A 20,539-nucleotide genomic window follows, 5' to 3' on the forward strand; every position below is an offset into this window, starting at 1 on the left:
GCCCCTAGGGTTAGGAGTCAGGACTCTGGCTTCTGGTGGCTCCTCTGCCATACACCCACTGTCTGTGTGACCTTGGGCAAGTGCCCCCTGCTTTTGCCACCTATAAAATAGGGTGGAAGTCGTGTTCACTAGTTGTTCGCTGTCTCTTTCAGCTGTAAACTCTGGAGAAGCGGAACCTCCGGATCTCTGCATTTAGTCAGTTTGGGTGGAGGCAATATTTCACCAAGAATCCATCTAGCACTTGCAAATGAACGTTTAGAAAATAAAGGAGGCATTTGCAGTTTGCTTTGGAAGTCCCAAAATAGACATGGGGAGGATTGGTGAACGCTCAGTTCGCCTTCTTCAGTGCTTTGGACCGTCATGAAATATTCAACGACATAATGATTTGTTTTCAAAGTGGCTTATAGATCAGGAAGCGTTTCTGTTTGTGAGTCGGTTATTTTTGTAAAAACCTCAGAATGGTTGTTTGGGAAAAAAAAATAATGCACTGTTCTAGGGGTCCTGACCTAGAGGCCAGCATCTACTTGTTTCTAGTCTAAGATGATGGTTGAGATGATTTCCAATCAAGACAATTTCGGGCATCCTTTGGTCGGTGTTGAGTATGGGTACGGTTAAGGAGCCAAGTTCATCTTTTCCAGGACTGGTGCATTCTGGCACAGTCACAGCAAAACAAGCACGAGGTAGTTAACTGTGATATGCTAGAAAGTGAAATTTATTCTTTTGCCCAATATCTTGTTCCCCTTGTGCTGCAATTAGTGGCTCCCCAGTGTGTGGGTGAAACGCATTACCACGAAAGGATTCTCACAGAAGTGATTTTATGATTTTATTTCCTTCCTCGACATCCTGGTTTTAAGTTTCTAGCATTATGAAATCAGAGAGCTGGTGAGGGTGTGCTTGGTGACCAGAGCAGAGTTGTGGTACCTAAGTTTGTCTTTCCTGAATGAGACCCCATCCTTGAAGCTAATTTGTCCAGAGCCTTTTATCTCTCTGACGCATTCAAATGCCACCAGTCTTTTCCCTCTTCATTCTCTATTGGTTCATCAAGCACTTTCTCACTACTCATTCGAGAGGACACAAACATGAAAATTACCAACAGGCCCTACCCTCAAGGAGCTTAGGTTCTGTTGGGGAATAGAGAGGCTTGTGCCACAGGATCTTCATTGTGGGCTTTATCGCCTGGGATTCCTGTGAACACTAAGGAGGGTGAATTCCAAGTGGAGATATTGGAGAAGGCTTTACAATGGAAGGTGGAGGAAGAAGAGGATTTCAACAGGTGGTGAGGAATAGAAAGGCTATGTGTAGGTCAAGGAGCTGGTACGAGCAAGGAACTGGTGAGAGCTGGGAGAGCATGAGACAGATGAGAGCAGTGAGCCTGGTGGAAGCACAGAGAAGGCAGAGCACTTCAGAGACAGGGCAGCGGGAAGAGGCTCTGGAGGCTCTGAACCTGGGCTGGAATCCTCGCTGGCTGTGGAGTATTGGGCCTCCGAGCGTCACTTTTTTAATTCGTAAAACGGGAATAATAATAATTCCAAACTCACAAGATTAAATGAGATCATGTATAACAGTGTCTAATAGGATGTTTGCATGTAATAGGTGTTGGATAAAAGTCAATTCTTTTTATCAGAGGGTTCATGGGCAAGCTGAATAAGTGTTTGAAGGCACCATTGGAGTAAATAGTGCTTTTGGTTTAAGCATGTGCATTGATTTAGAACCTCACCAGCAGCAGAGAGTTCTTGTGACAATGTGATGTGTCCTCGAGGTGCCTCCTGATTCAAGGGGCAGGGGCTTTTTGTTATTTGGAAGGTGTTCAGATCAGATACTAACATCAACAACAGGCAATGCCCTGTAAATACTGTTAGGTGGTGGGAGGTCACAGAAGGCTAATCAGAAGGCTCAATCCCTGCCTCACACAAGCTTATCACTATGTACTCAAGGACCCAGATTGGTGGGGGAGGGGGGCAGATTTGACAGACACAGCTCTAAATATATCAGCTTTGTCCATATAGCTGGGAGCGGGGTACTGGCTCCCTTCTGTCTTAGATTTGCAGTGGTCAAAGAATAGGATACAACCTGGGTAGCATAGTGAGACCCCATCTCTACAAAAAATTTACAAATTAGCTGGGTGTAGTGGGTGTGCACCTGTGGTCCCAGCTACTTGGGAGGCTGAGGTGCTGAGGTGGGAGGATCACTTGAGTCTCACTCGAGACTGCGGTGAGCTATGATCAGGCCACTGCACTCCAGCCCGGTCAAAAGAGTGAGACTCCATCTCTAAAAAAAAGAAGACAGAGGGTGAAGAATAACATTGCAATACCTTATGACCCTGTGTAGCACTATGTAGCATCTATGGTACTGTCCTTCATTTTTTCAATCAATGGTTGTTCATAGAACACCTGCTCTCTGCCAGAAAATTGTTCTAGGTGCCTCGAGAATACATCGGAACAAAAGGCAAGGTCTCTACCTTCCTGGAGTTTATATTCTAGTTGGAGAAAATAATGAAGAAGTCATTACATAAATAAGGTAACTACAGGTTGTGCCAAAGGCTGGGAAGAAAATAAGTGGGGAAATGTGGGAGAAAGTAGTAGGAGTGGGACTCCATTGGAGGGTGGTCAGGGCAGGCCTATCTGAGCCAGTGAGAGCCACAGGAGAGAGGGAGCCAGTCTTGCCTGGAGCTGGGTGAGGGTCAGTGCAGCAGCTCTGTATCTGTAAGAGGTAGGGTAGTTCTGTGTATGAGAATGCAGACTCTGGGGCCACACCACCTGGATTTGAATACTTGCCCCTTGGCTAACTAAATATATTCCACTATCAGGTTATTTAATCTTCTGAACTTCAGTTTTTTCATCTGTAAACTAGGGATAATAACAGTACCTCCTTGAGAGGGTTGTTGGATAACTGAATGAGTCGATACATGTAAAGTACTTAGAATAGTGCCAGTTATGTAGTAAGCACCAAATAAAAGTTCAATTGAGGGTGAGAGAAGGAGGAAACTGTTCCAGGCTGAAGGAACAGCAAATGCTAAGGCCTGGAGGCCTGAAGGGGCTTGGTGCATGTACAACTAGACAGTCTGTGTGCACAGGTATTATCCTCACAGTTATCGGGGAGACTCAAGAGCAGGCTCTCTGCCCCTTCAATACAGAATTATATATTTTAGGAATTTTGAAGAAATGACCACCCACAGCACTTTTCACTTGCAGGATCAGGCCGAGTGGTGTGGTGAGCTGCTGCTGCTGCTGCTCCTGCTACAACTTCGGGGACATTGCACAGTAGACCCTTCTTTAGGATCTCTTTCCCTCCCTCCTTCCCTGCCCCCGGAGGTGCTCATTGATGCATAAAGGGAAAGCAAGAGTGGAGCTGAGCCCCTGGTGCCACCAGCCCTGGTACCAAAATACTGGCTGTGCCCGCTTGCTGCGGGGTACCCTTCAGCCATCATCCCCTCCTCCTCCCAAGCTGGAAACTACAGCAGGGGAGGCTAATTGTCTGTGCCTTCTCCCTTGTTCCCTCCTTACTGAAATCTACTCAGTAAGGACCAAGTGACCTTGCCCTGTAAAGTAACAGTGACCAAGCCCTGTTATTTTTACTTCCAAAATCTCTCTCAAATATGCCCCCATCTTTCCATTCTCTCTGAGCATCAGGCTTCAGTGCTCTGTACTGTAAAGTGTGGCTCTGATCTCATCATGCTCCTCCTTAGAGCCTTTCAGTGGGTCTTCCCTGTATGGATACTGAAGTCCCGAGTCCTCAGCCCAGCAGGCATGATGGGCTACCTCCATCCTTTCTCTCACACCCCCTCCTCTGCACCATGTCCCCACTCTTTTTTTTTTTTTTTTTTTTTTTTTGAGATGGAGTCTTGCTCTGTTGCCCAGGCTGGAGTGCAGTGGTGCGATCTCGGCTCACTGCAACCTCTGCCTCCCGGGTTCAAGCAATTGCCCTGCCGCAGCCTCCTGAGTACCTGGGACTACAGGCACCTGCCACCATGCCCGGCTAATTTTTGTATTTTTTCGTAGAGACGGGGTTTCACCATATTGACCAGGCTGGTCTCGAACTCCTGACCTTGTGATCCACCCGCCTCGGCCTCCCAAAGTGCTGAGATTACAGGCATGAGTCCCCGTGCCCAGCCTCCCAACTCTTAATCCCCCTAGCCTCAGGTCTCTAGGCCTTTGCTCCCCCGTCTAGCCCCTCTGTCTAGCATGTGCTTTAGCCTTGGTGGTCCTGCCTATGCCTGAAGGCTAAGCTCAAATCCTACCACCCTTAGGAAGCTGTCTTCCAGATCCCCTCATCCCAGGGATTTCACTGTTCCCTGATACTTGGTACCTCTCATGGAGAAGTCATTACTGTCAGCCTTGAAGGATTTTGTGTGCGGTCACTTGTGTATGTGGCCACAGCTCATAGAAAGCCCTTGGGAGGGCCGGCACAATGTCCTTCATCTTTCTACCCCACAACCCTTTTCACAGAGCCTAGCCCTAATGCAAGCTTGATAATGGTCTGTATCGGATTGACAAAAGCCTGTGATTTTCCCGATATCTGAAATGGTTTGAGTCAAGCCAGAAACATGAGGCTGATGCTTAGGGGTTGCATATGGTTGTCAGCTGAACTCACTCGTGGCATTCTGATCCCTCAAGATGTAGCTCCTTCATTTGATGATGGGTTGATGCAACCTCTAAGATGAGTCTGAGTTTTGAATTTAGCTTTTCAGTGTGCCTATTTTAAAGGAATATACTGTGTAAAATTTGAACCTTGAAGCTTTTGACAATCATTCTTTATATTATAAAAGCGTTCCTTACTGTAAAAAAGATCAGTATAGAAAGCTTTCAAACACCAAATATACCTATGCACTTAACACCAATCAATGTATAAAATTTTGGTTTATCCACAGCTATTGTAGTTGTACTTTTACTGTATCCTGAGATATACACTAAACTTAATATATGTTCATGGAAGCAGTACTAACAGTGGATTAAATTTGTTTTGGTAATTACAGATTACATTATACAGGTTTGCAAATCTGAGACTTTTTTTTTTTCAGTTAACTATCTGCCTGAAGGACAGTGGGAAGCCGGACTAGGTGCTTGGCAGATTGATATGAGGGCAGAAGCCATTATTTTCATTAAGTGACACAGTGTTTTCAGGAACTCATCTGATGTTTAGAGACCTTTTTGCCAGCAGTTAGAAGTGGTTTGGGCCACCAATCCTTTCCCAAGCTGGCTGCTAAATGGTATGTGGCCTTAATATTAGTTGTTTTGGTGAAAAAGAAAAAAAAAAACACTAATTACAAGTTGGAAAAGATAAGATGGTAAATTTAAAAGTTCTTTTGACCTCTTTCAAGGAATGATCTGAGAACCTCAGCTGCTTCAGTAAAAGGGTGATATGGCAAAATTTCAAAATCCTGAATGGAAAGAGCTTCAGAGGAATTCATCTGGATGCAACAGTGCATCATTCTCTGAGATTTTTGACTTAAGAGAAGACAGATGTGCAGGCAGCTGAGAAATGCTGTGCTTCCTGTTCTTTGAGTATCTAGAATATAGGGTGTAGGCTACAGCTTGTATTAAAACCAACGATAACAATCCCACCTCCCCTGCCAGTTGAAACCCCTGTCTGATGCTGACTTGTAACTATTCACATGTGAAGCTTCTGAGTTACTGCTTTGTTGTTTTCTTTGCTCCAATGTAGAATTCAGAAGGATGCAAAAGGAAAAACAATTATTAAAGACGAGGATGGCATTTATTCGTTCTTATAAAAATAATTTATTTAGTAGCTGCAGTCTCTGTTCTCTCTGGCTTTCCCTGGAAAAAGACACCACTCCAGACTGTCCAGGGCTCCCCTGGTACCTGTGAATGTGCTGTTAGTTCCTGGTCTGGTTAGAAGATGATGTCTCTGTGGAGATACATACTTGGCCTCTTTCTTTCTCCCTGGGGTGAGGGACATTTTATGTATAGGAGATGGAAGAATAGACGGTCTCTTTCTCAAGCTCATTCCTGGTTATTTTCAGTACTTAGCTCTTTGCAAAAACTGCGTAATAAGTGTCTTAGTGAGAGTGTGCCTTGTTTATGTGCTGAAAACCTAGATTCACACATATGTTTCCAGATATTTTAGCTACCAGCATAGACCCTCAAACAAGACTGCCAGCTCCGGAGATGATCAAGTACAGCCTTTGTGTGGTGCAGGAATTCCCCTAGCATACCCAGCCTCCCTCTGCTTGGACCTACCAACCCCCACCACCTTCCTATTCCATCCTCAGTTGGCTCTGGTTATTACAAAGTTCTTCATTATTCCAAGCCAAAAATCTTCCTCTCGGCAATGGTTGCCCCATTGGCCCGATCCTGTCCTTTGAAGCCCCACACACAAAAAATCCATTTCTTCTTCCCTATGACAGCTAGTTAGGCCACTTGGACCTTCAAAGACAGGGATCAGGCCCCCACATCTTCACTTCTTTAGGCAGAATGCCCACTTTATCTGGCCCCCTGAAAAGCTAAGAATGGGACACCGCTGTGCAGGTGGGGGTCTGATCAGCCCAGACAGGAGCAAGCCCACTGCAGCCTCACTTCGGAATCTATATTTGCGTTAGCACAGCCTGAGGCCAGTTAGGTCCCGGTGGGTCCCCCTTCTGAGCTGTGCACTGGGCCACTACGGAACTGCATGCACTTTGGCGTCAGAGAGACCCGAGTGTCCTGGCCCAGTGGTTGACGTGGGGTCGGGTGAGTGAGCCCCCTCTCTGGGACTCAGATCCCTCATCTGTCTGACTACTTCTTAGGTGCTGTATTTTTTCCTGTAAATGCTGTAACAAATCACCTCAATCTTGGCTTAAAACAGCAGAACTGTGTCCTTGAACAGTTCTGGAGGCCAGAAGTACAAAATCGAGATGTTGGTAGTGCTGCTGTCCCACTGGAGTCTCTAAGGGGAATCCTTCCTTTGTCACTTCCAGCTTCTGGTGCCCACTGGCATTTCTTGACTTGTGGCTGCATCACTCCAGTCTCTGCCTCCCTGGTCACGTTGCCTCCTCCTGTCTGTTTCAAATCTTTGTTTCACTCTTATAAGGACACTTGTCCTGAGATTTAGGGTCCATCTGGATAATCCAAGGATAAGCACGTCATCTAAAGATCATTAATTTAATTATAGGTGTAAAAATCCTTTTTCCAAATAAGATCACATTTACAGGTTCCTGGGATTGGGACTTGGAATTATTTATTTATTTATTTATTTTTGAGACTGGGTTTGGCTCTGTCACCCAGGCTGGAGTGCAGTGGCATGATCAAGCTCACTGCAGTGCTGATCTCCTGGGCTCAAGTGATCCTCCCACCTCAGCCTTCTAAATTGCTGGGACTATAGGCGCACACCAACTGGCTAATTTTTAAATTTTATTTTTAGTAGAGATGAGGCCTTGCTATGTTGCTCAGACTGATCTCAAACTCCTGAGCTTAAGCAGTCCTCCTGTCCCAGCCTCCCAAAGTGCTGGGATGACGGGTGTGAGCTACTACATCCAGCCAAGACTTGGATATCTTTTTAGGGTGGCCGCCATTCAGCCATTGGCTCTCTACTTTCTCTACTTTTGCAACTCCCTTTTGTTTCTATTGTATTTGAACCCAGCTCTCCAGGGTCACTGGCCTCAGATCCTCAGGCCACATGTCTTCTGTCTCCTCCTTCCTTCAGCATCCTGGCTGCTGCTCTGAAGGGTGCCGGGGCTGTTCCTATCACTCCTGTTGTACAGATGTGGGTGGGGCCCTCAGGGATTAGGCTGCCTAGGAGAAAGCTCAGGTCTTTCTGGTGCATACCCTCATTTCCACCAGCATGCTATGGCGAGTCCAGTGGAGGTTTTGTCAGTGGGAAGGAGAAGCTGTGGCTATTAAAATATTCATTGCCGGTTCTCAGACGTAGGGAAGATCCCACAGTGAATGTGCTCTGGACAAAGAAGGGACACATAGTGGAAGACTTATGTCTTCACATTTTCCCACTAATTTAGACTGAGATTGGCTCACTGAATTTGAGGGAAATTATATTCTCAGTGCCCAAATACTCTGTAAAAAATCAGGAAATGCTCCTTGACAACCCTGTAAGGGCATAGTAGTATCATCTTCTTGCCCTACAACTAGCCTGTTTCAGAAGTTCCATGGTCCTTTAAGTGTGATCTCCAGTCTGCTGCTGGCTTCTGGGCTCTCCAAATGCAACTCCCACTAAAATGTGCTTTTCTCCACAAAGAGAGTGCGCTGCTTTGTTTGCAGTTGACTTTTCAAGCACTAAAAAAAAAAAAAAAAAAACAAAACTGAGGGGCAAGCAGAAGAGCTGCGTCTGGTGAAGCTAGTAGTGGAGCTGAGAGAAAGCAGGGGGAGGGTAGTGGCCTGGGAAGTTCTGGACACTGAGCAGCTCCAGACTCTCCACTCATTGCTGCCCCCAGGATTCCTGTCCGACGGCATCCTCCTAGATGGCTGCTGCACTCATTTCAATGTGCTTTGCTAAGAAAGGCCTGTGTGGGGATAGGGGCTGGGGAGGAGAGGCGGGGAGGGAGGAGAGAGATGAATCAGACAGTCCCTGCCCCACCTGCGGCTGGAAGTAAGTCAGTGCTGGGCAGGGTGCTGTGCTTTGCAGAGACCCTTGGGAGCCTAGCAAGGGCTGGCCATGCCTTGCAGGGAGATCTAGGAGGGCTTCTGGGAGGGACTGGCATTTGAACCGAGCCCTAGTGGGTGACTAGGAGATAAAGAAGAGAAAGATGGATAGAACAGTGTATCCAAAGTTGACCTCAGGTGGCCCCCTTCCTGGTCATCATCCGATGGAGCTGCACTGGAAGAAGCTCAGGTCTTACAGGGACCTTAAGGACCATCTAGTAAGGAAGATATTCAGACTGCACTGCTTAGAGACCTCCGCTTCTCATTTCTCTTAAAGAACAGTGATTTTAAAGTAGGTTTAAACAATGGGTTTAAAGAACAGTGATTTTCCATTTTGACAAGGCTTGTTTGGTATAGCCACTTCAAAATATCCCCACATCAAAATATGATGCTTTATCTGGGATATCTTTTCCAGACTTTGGGAGCCTTCCCTCCTGCACTTTCATTTCTGCAAGGCAATACTCCCCAGACAGTGTGGTCATGGGGTGTTGCTGTGTAACCTTCCCCACTTGACTGTGAGCTTCCTGGGCAGGGACCGAGCCTTGCTGCTCATTCAGTACGGAGCCCAGAAGGAGGCCTGGGGGGTACAGTGTTGACCGATGAAATGAATGAATGCATGGCTATGACTACTTCCTTAGCTGCATCTGGCTCCCAGCTGCCTTCATTGGTCTCTACAGTCATCAGTAGTATCCTGGCTAAGTCAAGAGCATATGTGGGCCTCTGTGTTTCTCCATCTTATATTCTCTCCTGGAGTTGGTTTGCTATATCAGCCAAGTTAGTAGAGACTTGGAGGGGTGGTGCCCCCTCTCTGCACTTTCAGAGGATAGGGAGGCGGTGGACCTAATGTCCAGCCCCTGGAACTGCTGCCTGTTGTTCTGTGACATGGCCAGACTGACCTGGGAACTTGCTAATTCGGTCCAGCTGGCTCTTCTTGGTGCCTTGTAGTCTTAGTACTAGAGTCACAGAGGCAGGAGGGTGCAGGGGGAAGTACCCAGGCCTTTGACTTCATCAGGCCTGAGTTTACCAGTTGCATGATCTGAGGCCCATTGTTTACTTGCTTTCTTAATTGATTATCTGTGCATGTTAAGCTTACAGAAAAGAAGATACAGGGAGGATATAATGACCCCTGTTTTCCACCTACACATGGTAAATATTCAATAAATGTTAATATTCTTTTTATGTTATCTGAAGGGCTGTCATGGAGAAGAGAGATAAGACTGGTTCTGTGTGTTAGAGGCTATCCAGAACAAAGTTTAGTTTTGCCTCAAGTTCTCATCCTTTCCAAATTTCATAAAGCCCCCCAGTGTCCTAATTCCTCAAGCTTACGGCATTCCTGACATGTTTGTTTCTTATTCTCTTCCACCTGCAAACTACCACCACCTCTCTGTGTGAATTTGAAGGTTGCTTCCCCTTGTCTGGGCCTCAGTTTCCTATCTGTGGGCTAGGTTATATCCAAGGTCCTCTACAGCTTTGACACTACATTTAATTTCACAGCATAGATAATCCATGTCTTAGACTGTTTTGTGTTGCTCTAACAGCTTGTTTGGAGGTTCCAGCAGGGGAGCACAGCTACTCGTATACCCTTGACCAAAGACCAGTCCTCCTCTGTCGGGGATGGCTGTCCTCTTTGACCAAGAATGCAGCTTCGGGAGGGATGCACATGGAGTGGTGAGGGAGGAAGGGGACACCTGCCTAGCCAGCCAGATCAGCTGAATCAAACCTGGTGACCAGTGGGGTGACAGATGTCACAGCCAGATTGCCCTCACATCCATGTTGCTATAACAGAATACCACAGACTGGGTATTTATAATAAATAAAGATTTATTGGTTGTGGCTCTGGAGGCAGGGAAGTCCAAATCAAGAGGCCGGTATCTTTCATGAGCCTTCTTGCTGTGTCATCCCATGACAGAAGGGCAAAGAGAGGGCAAGAGGAGTGAACCCAATCGCACAATAATAAACCCACTCCTGCAATAACAGCATTAGTCTGTTCATGAGGGTGGTGCTCCCATGTTCCAAACATCCCCTATTAGGCCCCACCGCCCATCACTGCCATATTGGGGATCACAGTTTTAGCACATGAACTTTGGGGGGTACATTCAAACCATGGCCATTCATTATTTGGAAAGTGATGTTCTAGGCCCCAGAGCAAATACAGATGGAGTTACAGTCCTTGGCCTTACAGAGGTCACAGCCTAGTGTGGGGACAAATAAGAAGTCAGCATCATGAATGCTGTGGTAGGGAATACAGGGCTGAGGGATCGGAACCAGAACAGGGAGAGACTAGCCACTTGATCAATGTATGGGCCCACTGCCCTCAGGGAGGAGCTATCTAGAAATGTTTGTTACTACATAAAAATATGAATGATGGAGACCAGGTCTTCCCAGGTGGCACTAGGATTTTTTGCTTTGAATTGGAATTATCAGTATGGAAAATCCCAGCAGAGATGACCTATGTGAGGGACCTTCTTTCCTCTCTTATTCTCCTGCCTTCTTGGAAAGAAAAAAAAAATATCCAAGTCTTCAGAATAGATTGACCTTTATGTACAGAAGCTCTTGGGACATGCAGCTCAGTTTAACAAGTACTGTTTGTGTGCCTGAGAAATGTCTGGGAAGATGCAGAATTACATGCGTAAAGAGAATTAATCTATCTTTTGCCATGATTGTGTTCAGAAGCTCATTTTCAAAGACAGTTTCAATTTTCCTAGCTGTCTGGGTGACAGTTAGATGCGTACAACCTGTGCACACTCATCCCTCTCTTGTATTTAGTCTGCCCAATTTAATTTGTTTAGATACCGTAGGCTTTTATTGATTGCCCATTAGAAGTTTAGCCTAGTGTTGACAGCCTAGGGGTATAAGAGACATCATTAGCCAGAAATTTCTTTTGTAGCTGGACTAGTAAGTCTTATACCCAAGAGTCAGTGAACAGAATGATCTGTTCACTGGGGATTGCTGAGTAAATTGGTGTGAGTGCCAGGATTTCTGCCCCAGGCTGAGAGATCTGGATAGATGGATGCTGAAGATGGTTCTTCAGGAAGTCTTTTGGAGGAGTCTGCATTGGAGATGGGCCAGGTGGGGATTGCATGCCAGAGTGGAGATGCAGGGGGAGGGGGCTGATCAGCAGGTGAACTCAGCATGGGAATTAGGCTTGAGCTAACTTTTCAGTCTCATCCTCCAGCCTGTTGTTCTCATGCCTTAATAATGAAAACATTTCTTCAATGCACAAGGCTCTAGCAGGCCTCTGGATTTTTGTTCATGCTATTTCCTTTGCTTACCCTCTCCACTGCCACACTCCATCTACCAGTAAAACTCCTAGTTATCTTTCAATTCTAGTGTTCTTCTGCTGTTCTAACCTCGTGACTTTGCCTCTCCTGGTTTCTCGTAGTGTTTTGTCTATATAGTCATCCTTCAGTATCCCATAGGGGATTGGTTCCAGGACCCCACTGCAGATAAGAAAATCCATGGATGCTCAAGTCCTTTATATAAAATGGTGTAATGTTTGCATATAACCTATGCATATCCTCTTGTATACTTCAGATTATCTCCAGGTTACTTATAATACCTAATAGAGTGTAAATGCTATGTAAATAGTTGTTATACTGTATTGTTTAGGGAATAATGACAAGAAAAAGTCTGTACATGTTCAGTATAGACACAACCATGCATCTTTTCCCCGAATATTTTCAGTTCAAGTTTGGTTGAATCCACGGATGCAGAAGCCCCAGATATGAAGGGCTGACTCTACTTCTGTTTCAGTATGGTACCTGGAGCATGACAGACGCCCAAGAGCTATCACCTGAATAAATGAATAACTGAATAAATGACTGATTATTAGGTTCTGTGTCTGACTCACCTGCTGGAACTGTGAAATGTTTCCTGAGAGAGGAGTGGAGGGCACCGAGATGAAAATGTGGGTGACAGATTCAGAGCAGGGAGACCACTGGGCTGCCCTTGGTGGTGGGGTGGGGGAGATGCCCTTTGGAGGGGATGTAGGGCATCGACATTTATGTATGTATGTATGTATGTATGTATTTATTTATTTATTTTTACTTTAAGTTCCGGGATACATGTGGAGAATGTGCGAGTTTGTTACATAGGTATACATGTGCCTAGTGGTTTGCTGTACCTATCAACCCATCACCTAGGTTTTAAGCCCCACATGCATTAGCTATTTGTCCTGATGCTCTCCCTCCCCTTACCCCACCCCCGACAGGCCCCGGTGTGTGTTGTTCCCCTCCCCGTGTCCATGTGTTCTCATTGTTCAACTCCCACTTATGAGTGAGAACATGCGGTGTTTGGTTTTCTGTTCCTGTGTTAGTTTGCTGAGGATGATGGTTTCCAGCTTCATCCGAGGACATCAACTTTTTGATGAATAGAAGCACACAGTAAAGATATTCTCTAAGATATGCTATAGACACTAAACATTCGGGGAAAAACCTGACTCTGGAATAATCAAAGAACTACAAATAAAATCAGCAATAAAAGCAAAGAAAAGAACTGCAAACAGAAGCCCCCTTATAAATCTAATAAATTAGGGGTGACTGAGTAATTGGGGGAAGTAGTTTTCCTACTGACCAAGGGAGCATAATTGGGATAGCTTTTGTGGGGGGCAATTTGGCTATATCAAAAGCATTAAAAACTTGTATAGTCTTTCACCCAGCAGTGCCATTCCTAGGAATTTATCCTAAGAGAATAATTACAGATGTATTTTCAGAGATGTTTATCTCAACATATTTGTAATACAGACATCGAAAATAAACCAAATATCCAGCAATAGGGACTTAGCTTTAAAAATGGCACTCTTATCTATAGCAAATAAACAATAATGTTGTAGAATAATAAAGACACAGGGAAATGTTTACAGTGTATATTTTTCAGTTTAGAAACCAGCATATATGGTAAGTTCCCAATTATGTTGAAAATGTGTCTTTTCACACAAAAAGACTGGAAGAGTAATTAGCAACTTATAGCTTTTAGTGGACAATTTTTATTATCTTCTCTCCAAAAAAGAAAACTTTCAAAATTTTCTACCAGCCACATGTATTACTTTTATAAGAGGGAGGAAATAAGTGACAATTAAGAAAAAGAGATAAGCTTTTGGAGAGCGTTGTTTGAGCGTCACTAGGTGGAAAACTAAATGAGCACATCATTTATCTTGCAAATTCCAGACAGGTGGTGTTTTCAGAAGGAAGAGTGGTCTTAGGTCCATTTGTGTGAGTATATTTATAGAAGTGAAAGCTTTGGGGGAAGGAAATAGATTGATTTTTTTTCCCCTTGAACTTCTGAAATTATTTTTTCCACTCCATTTGTAATTGAGCCCAGGGAGCTATTCTTATTTCTTCCTTTCTTGGGCACTGCGTTAGACCTAAAAATGTTAACTGGCTTAGGATGTGGGTTTTGCTAAAATGATTCCCCTTGAAGTCTTCACTGGGCTTTCTCATGCTTAAAAGTGGGGTCCCGCAGAAGATCACTTTCTACCTAATGCACTTTGCTCCTGAAGTCTTTGGCAACGTTGGGGTGGTCAGAAACCACTCCTGCCTTATGGTTCTGGACCCCAGCAGCCACATGTGAGGGCTCAGCAGTATGCACCTGTGTTGGCACTGTCTGTTGGAGAGGTTTATTTAGGGGTCAATCTGGCATCACCTTATCCTGTGGACGTAACATTAGTCTGCAGAAAAAGAGATCAGAGTTGGGTAGAATCACTTTGAATATTAAAGATAGTGATGCCTTTTGCCATACATCTCCAAAGAGCTCTGAGCATTTCAGACATTACCTCATCGTTAATTTTCACAGTGTTCTTGGGTGAGAAGCTGATGGCAAGTATTCCCTGGTCTCCGTGTGGGGCAGAACATAGCAAATTTTAGGTAGGTAGTAGGAGTTCTCCTGACTAGATATCAATTGGTAAAAGAAAATGGGGGCATTTTTTGGGTGTCTTCTTCACAGTTGTTCTGCGTTACTCAGAAATTAAATTGCCTTCCTGCATTTTGCCCCACTAACACTTATTGAGTGTCTACTGTGAGCAAGGCACAATGCTGAGTACTGTGGCTAGGAGTGAAATGTAAATGTCCTTAGTCCCACACTTAAGGCCTTTGGTGATCTGGCTTCTTCCACCTGCCACTCCTACCCCGATACCTCCACTTTATTTCACATACCTTTTATGCCTCATCGTCTTCATGCTAAGCTGAACCTTTGGTCTTCAGGGTAGCCCAGTGCCATCTCCCTTCTGTGCACTTTATGCCCTTCCCCTGGTGTGCCCCCGTTGCCTTTCTCCCTACCCCTGCAGGTCTTATCCTGTCCTTCACGCTCTGCTCACCTCCTGCACAAAGCCTTCCCTGATAGCTCACTCTACTTTATCCACAGCTGGATGGGATCTCCCACCACCAAACTCCCAGGTGTTCTACTAGCCTCTCTGCACTGGTCCTTACTCTTTTTTACTTTGTATTTCAGTGATTTATGTGCACTCCTTGATGACTTTTCAAGCTTCTTGACTGAAGAGATGTGCAAGTACTCAATGCATAAAGGAATGAAACGGGCATAATTTCAGGCTAGCAGTCACCAGTTTGTGCCTAGCTTTCTGAGGTACAGAGTCACTGATAGAACCCTACTTGGCCTCGCCTCTCCTTTGATCCTTCCTCACTGAGGCCCTTTGCTGCCTCCCAGTCGGTTCCGTCCTCGCCTTGCATCAGTGCCCATACCATCTTTCAGTTCATAGCTGTGTATTAAAAAGTATTCCTCTCTTATGGTGTTCTGGGGAGACATGGGAAAAGAGAGACAATTGAAGCATGCTTTTTTTTTTTTTTTTCCTGAGACAGGGTCTTGCTTTGTCACCCAGGCTGGAGTGCAGTGGCGTGACCTTGGCTTACTGCAACTGCTGCTCCCCCAGGCTCAAGCGATCCTGCCACCTCAGCTTCCCAAGCAGCTGGGACCACAGGTGCGCACCACCAAGCCCAGCTATTTTCTTGTATTTTCAGTAAAGACAGGGTCTCACCATGTTGGCCAGGCTGGTCTAGAACTCCTGACCTCAAGCGATCTGCCCACCTCAGCCTCCCAAAGTGCTGGGGTTACAGGCATGAGCCACTGTGCCAGGCCTGAAGCAGTTTTAAGGTTACCCCTGGGCTGGCCACAATGGCTCACTCCTGTAATCCCAGCACTTCGGGAGGCTGAGGCGGGCGGGTTGCTTGAGGTCAAGAGTTCAGGACCAGCCTGACCAACATGGTGAGACCCCATCTCTACTAAAAATTAAAAAAAAAAAATAGCCAGGCATGGTGGCACACACTTGTAATCCCAGCTGCTTGGGAGGCTGAGACACAAGAATTGCTTGAACCCGGGAGGCGGAGGCAGAGGTTGCAATGAGACGAGATCGTGCCACTGCACTCCAGCTTGGGTGACAGAGGGAGACTCTGTCTCAAAAAAAGAAAAAAAAAAAGAAGGTTACCCCTGTGCTTATTTCTTTTTCAACCTCTGTAATGCAAACCACCCACACTTCATGGGATCCTAAAATTGCAAAGGGCTTTATCCAGAGTATTCTTTGTCCATGAGCCGGCATGAGGGCTGAGATCATCTCCTGCTCTACCTGTGGCAGGCTGTGTGAGGCTGGGCAAGTTATTTAATCTTCCTGTGGCGTCATTTCCCCATCTGTTAAGGGGGGATAATGTGCTTAGGGGTGACCTACCTCCCTGGGATGCTGTGAGGCTTAGTGAGCTAATGCCATTGCTATTAACTTTAACTGAACACAACTGGGCAGAACTAGCAGGAGACCAAGTATTATGTGGCACAGAATAAACTCTACAACTATAAAATGGATGCATCATGAGACCTTGGGTGTCATCTTCTGTGTTGCCCTTGGCACAGAGGAAGCCAGTTTGCCAATCAAGGACCTCTAGGGTTTCCTCTCTCGACTGGCTCAAGTGGTTGAGGTCTTGAGGATGAGAATGCCATCTGCAGGACTCCTGTGCCTGTCGTGCTGAAAGGAGAGAAGCCAGACATGTTGACAGGCATAGCTGCAGCTGCCCAGTATCCGCAGATGAGGAGGGTCATGCTCCTGTGAGGAGGGGGCCCGTGCCACAGAGATACCACCCAACTTTGCCCACATGGCCTGGCAGTCGGTTTTACTTGGGCTTATCGATGAGCTATGGGAAGGTCATTTGATATTCACATTCTTGTGGCCGCAATGTTGGGAATGTGGCCTTTTATCTTTAAAAATAGCTGTGTGCTGGGAGGCCCGGGAGCAGTGTCCTGGGATGGAGGGGAGCTGCCAGCAGGGGGAAGAGGTGTGGATTTCTTTCCGAGGAAGAGTCCCTTCAGCTCTGTGCCACTGGTGAGTTGGTGTTTGCTCATTCTGTAACGTGTGCTGCTTTCTCTAGACTGTTCTTGGAAAGGGGGCTGTTTTGGTTCTTCTCAATTGTGATACCTTCTCCATATCTTAAAAAAAACCTGTTTCCACGGTATATTTGTTCTTGAGCACTTATCCTTTATGAAACCTGTTTGATTAAGATTCTTTCAGTGTTCATAATCGCAATTTATTTATTATGGGTTCTTCTCAAATTTAACTGGTAATTATTTCTCACATTTGTTTTGTGTTTTCAAAAGGCAGCATCCTTAATCATTTTATATATAAATAAGATAATCATTAAATACTTTTGGAACTAACTTGCCAACAGGTTTTCAAAATTGGGGGATCATAGGATGTGAGACCCCAGGCTAGAGACTTTCACGTTGAATAAATCCCTGTTTCAGATGGTGCAATGATGTCCTGAGAGGATAATGAGCAATCTTTGGTTACACAGCTAACTAGTGACAGAATCAGGACTTGGATCCAGGTCCCCTAACTTCCTTGTCCATGCCTCTCTGGTCAGCTCTGTGGAATTTAGCCTCTGAATTACAAGTGAGTGAGAAGGGGAAAAAAATCACTACCTAATTTAACTTTTCCGTATGTCTTAATTAAAATGAATCTTCTAGTTTTAGAAATGCCTATGCCATATACCACAGCTGATCCCTTGACCTTGACTTGCTTGATTCCTTTGATGGTCTGCATTGAGGATTCTTCAAGTATGGTCCCCACCTGTATTCTCCGAGAGCCTGTGAGAAATACGAACTCTCAGCCCCGCCCCAGACCTAGGGAAACTCTGCGGGTGGGGCCCAGCAACCTGTGTTTTAACAAGTCCTCCAGGTGATCTGATAGGCAGTGAAGTTACAGAACCATTGCCTGCCATGGCTTAAGTCATCCTCTCCATGTGTTTGACACCCAGGGCAGTGACTCACTTTGTTTCTTTTTCTTTTATGGATTCTGAGTTTTCTTTACCGAAGAGAGAGTTTCTCTGTTGCTGCTGCTAGCTTTGAATAATGATTCCCTTTTTCTGCTTCTCTGCATTACTACTATACACACACACCTAGCAGGAGTGAAAGATAGGTGGGCCAAAAATGAAAGTAAATAGGCTGGGCACGTGGTGGCTGACTCCTGTAATTCCAGCACTTTGGGAGGCCGAGGCGGGTGGATCACCTGGGGTCGGGAGTTGGAGACCAGCCTGACCAACATGGAGAAACCCCAACTCTACTAAAAATACAAAATTAGCCGGGCATGGTGGCGCATGCCTGTAATCCCAGCTACTCGGGAGGCTGAGGCAGGAGAATCGCTTGAACCCGGGAGGCGGAGGTTGTGGTGAGCTGAGATCACGCCATTGCACTCCAGCCTGGGCAACAAGAGCAAAACTCTCTCTCAAAAAAAAAAAAAGAAAAGAAAAAAGAAAGTAAATAGGGGATTTGAACAGAAACAGGTTTGCAGGTAGAAAAAAACGTCTCAACCACTGAGGTATGTTTTCTGCGTTTAAAACTTGCTACTTCTCTAAGCACACTGATAAATTAGACTGTGTCTAACTGTATTATACTGGGTTTTCTATCATTTATTTGTTATTTTATTCATTCATTCTGCAGATTTTTTGTACCTTGTATTTGCATGGCTCATGTTAAGTGCTGGGGGAGACGTATTCGAGTTTATCAGGAGGTAGAGAACATGTTCAAAAATAACTATAATCCAAGCTAGCCAGTGATAAATACAGGAGAATCATCTTTAGTAAAATGGTTGTGGAAGCCTAGAGATGGTAGAAAGCATGTATGAGGGAGGAGGACAGCAGGGAGGACTTCATGAAGACAGCAGCATTTAGACGAAGCTTAAAAGGAGGTGGAATTTGACATTGAGAGTTTGGGCGTGGGTAAATAACATTCTAGGCAAAGGTGCAAAAAGATCAAAGCATGGCGGGAGGCTCAGTGCAATTTGTTAGGATGGGGGTTATGTGAAGATGATTAGAAAGAAATGAGGCCATGTAACTAGGTCAGTGTCAAATGGAGAAGGATCTTCAAATACTCACTTAGGAGTTTGTTCTTTATCCTGAAGGCAATGGGGAGTCATTGAAGGGTTTTGAATAAGGGGGAGGTATGACCAAGCTGTGCTTTCAGTAAAGTTAATCTGCCATCAGCATGTGAAGTAGACTGAAGTATGTGAGAGGGAGACTTTCGTTGTTTTTATTTTGTAACTGCTTTGCAGCAGTTTGTTGATAGATTGAAAAATTGTCTTAATGTTTAATTGGGAGGTAATTGCCTTTCTTCTGGTGATCGTTGGATTTTGAAATAAGCATCCAGGGCATAGTTTATTGTCTGGGGAATGCAGCTGTAACGTTATAATGGGGAATCTGCAGGAAAATAAGAATCACTTATCAGAATGGCTTTATAGGAAACTTCCAGAACTAACTTCTTTCTTCCTTCTTTTCTTTTGAACATTTTCTTTTAAACAAAATGTGTTCATATTCATTTTATCCAGTAATAACCTGGTAATGCTAGATCACATAAAATCTACAAGTATTGAACACCTAAAGGCTATTGAACACCTAAAGGCTCTTTCTTGCCTTTTCCTACTCAGCCTCCAGAGCTGTTTTCCCTCTCACTCAAGGACTTACTTTGTTAAAGTGCCTAAATCAAACTCATTTTGCAAGGATCTGCCTTATTTCAGTGGTGGCTCTAATGGGAATAGTTGTAGGAAACTTGAATGTCATGAATATTTAAATATGTTATGACTTCTAGTATTTGTAGTATAGAGAAGGCTCTGTTACCGTTGTTTTTTTCAGTAGGGCTCTCTTTATAGGGCCTTGGCTTTGGCTAGTTAGCACCATTGATTTTAGTCATTCAATGAGTATTTAGTGAACATCTATTAGGCACTGAAAAATCATGGTGAATCAGACAACCACGGCCCTGCTCAATGTGGAACTTATATTCTAGCAGGGGATATATACAAGTAAATAGTCAAATATAGTCTGAGAGAGGGAAAATACTGGGTACTGTGAAAGCACCGACCCCGAGTAGAGGTCAGAGAAAACTTAACAAGTGGGATATAAACTGAGACCTGAAAACTAATTGGGGGCTGGCACAGTGACTCACTCCTGTAATCTCAGCAATTTGGGAGGCCGAGGCGGGTGGAACACCTGAGGTCAGGAGTTTGAGACCAACTTGGTCAACGTGATGAAACCCCATCTCTACTAAAAATACAAAAGTTAGCCGGGCGTGGTGGTGGGCATCTGTAATCCCAGCTACTCAGGAGGCTGAGGAAGGAGAATCGCTTGAACCTGGGAGGCAGAGGTTGCAGTGATCTGAGATCGTGCCACTGCACTCCAGCCTGGGTGACAGAGCAAGACTCCATCTCAAAACAACAACAACAAAAAACAACAAGCAAACAAACAAAACAATTGGGGTAGGTTAGTTAGCCTAAGCTTGCGGGGAGACAACTGGGGGGAAATGGACTGCTAATGAGTATGAGGTTTCTTTCTTTTTGGAGTGATGAAAATGCTTCAAAATGGATTGTGGTGATGGTTGCACAGCTCCATGAATATACTAAAAACCATTGACTTGTGTACTTTAAATTGGTAAATTGTATGCTATGTGAATCATATCTCAATAAACCTATTTAA

General features: G+C 45.0%; 1 protein-coding gene and 1 pseudogene across 8 annotated transcripts in view; one reads left to right on the top strand and one right to left on the bottom strand.

Moving 5' to 3' along the window:
• FRMPD1 (FERM and PDZ domain containing 1) overlaps window positions 1–20,539 on the top strand; it is a 143,676-nt gene that overhangs the window by 48,463 nt on the left and 74,674 nt on the right. For 2 of the 8 annotated variants that reach the window (NM_001371223.1, XM_017014482.2), the window contains exon 1: window positions 16,318–16,902. The exons of the other annotated variants lie outside the window; for them this stretch is intronic. The gene's annotated coding sequence lies outside the window, so the exon portion shown is untranslated. Of the gene's footprint in view, window positions 1–16,317; window positions 16,903–20,539 lie in introns of those variants that run through there. 8 annotated transcript variants of the gene reach the window in all.
• On the bottom strand, window positions 10,056–10,358 carry RN7SKP171 (RN7SK pseudogene 171; annotated as a pseudogene).

Source organism: Homo sapiens, chromosome 9 (genome assembly GCF_000001405.40).
Source record: "Homo sapiens chromosome 9, GRCh38.p14 Primary Assembly".
NCBI classification, from domain to species: domain Eukaryota; kingdom Metazoa; phylum Chordata; class Mammalia; order Primates; family Hominidae; genus Homo; species Homo sapiens.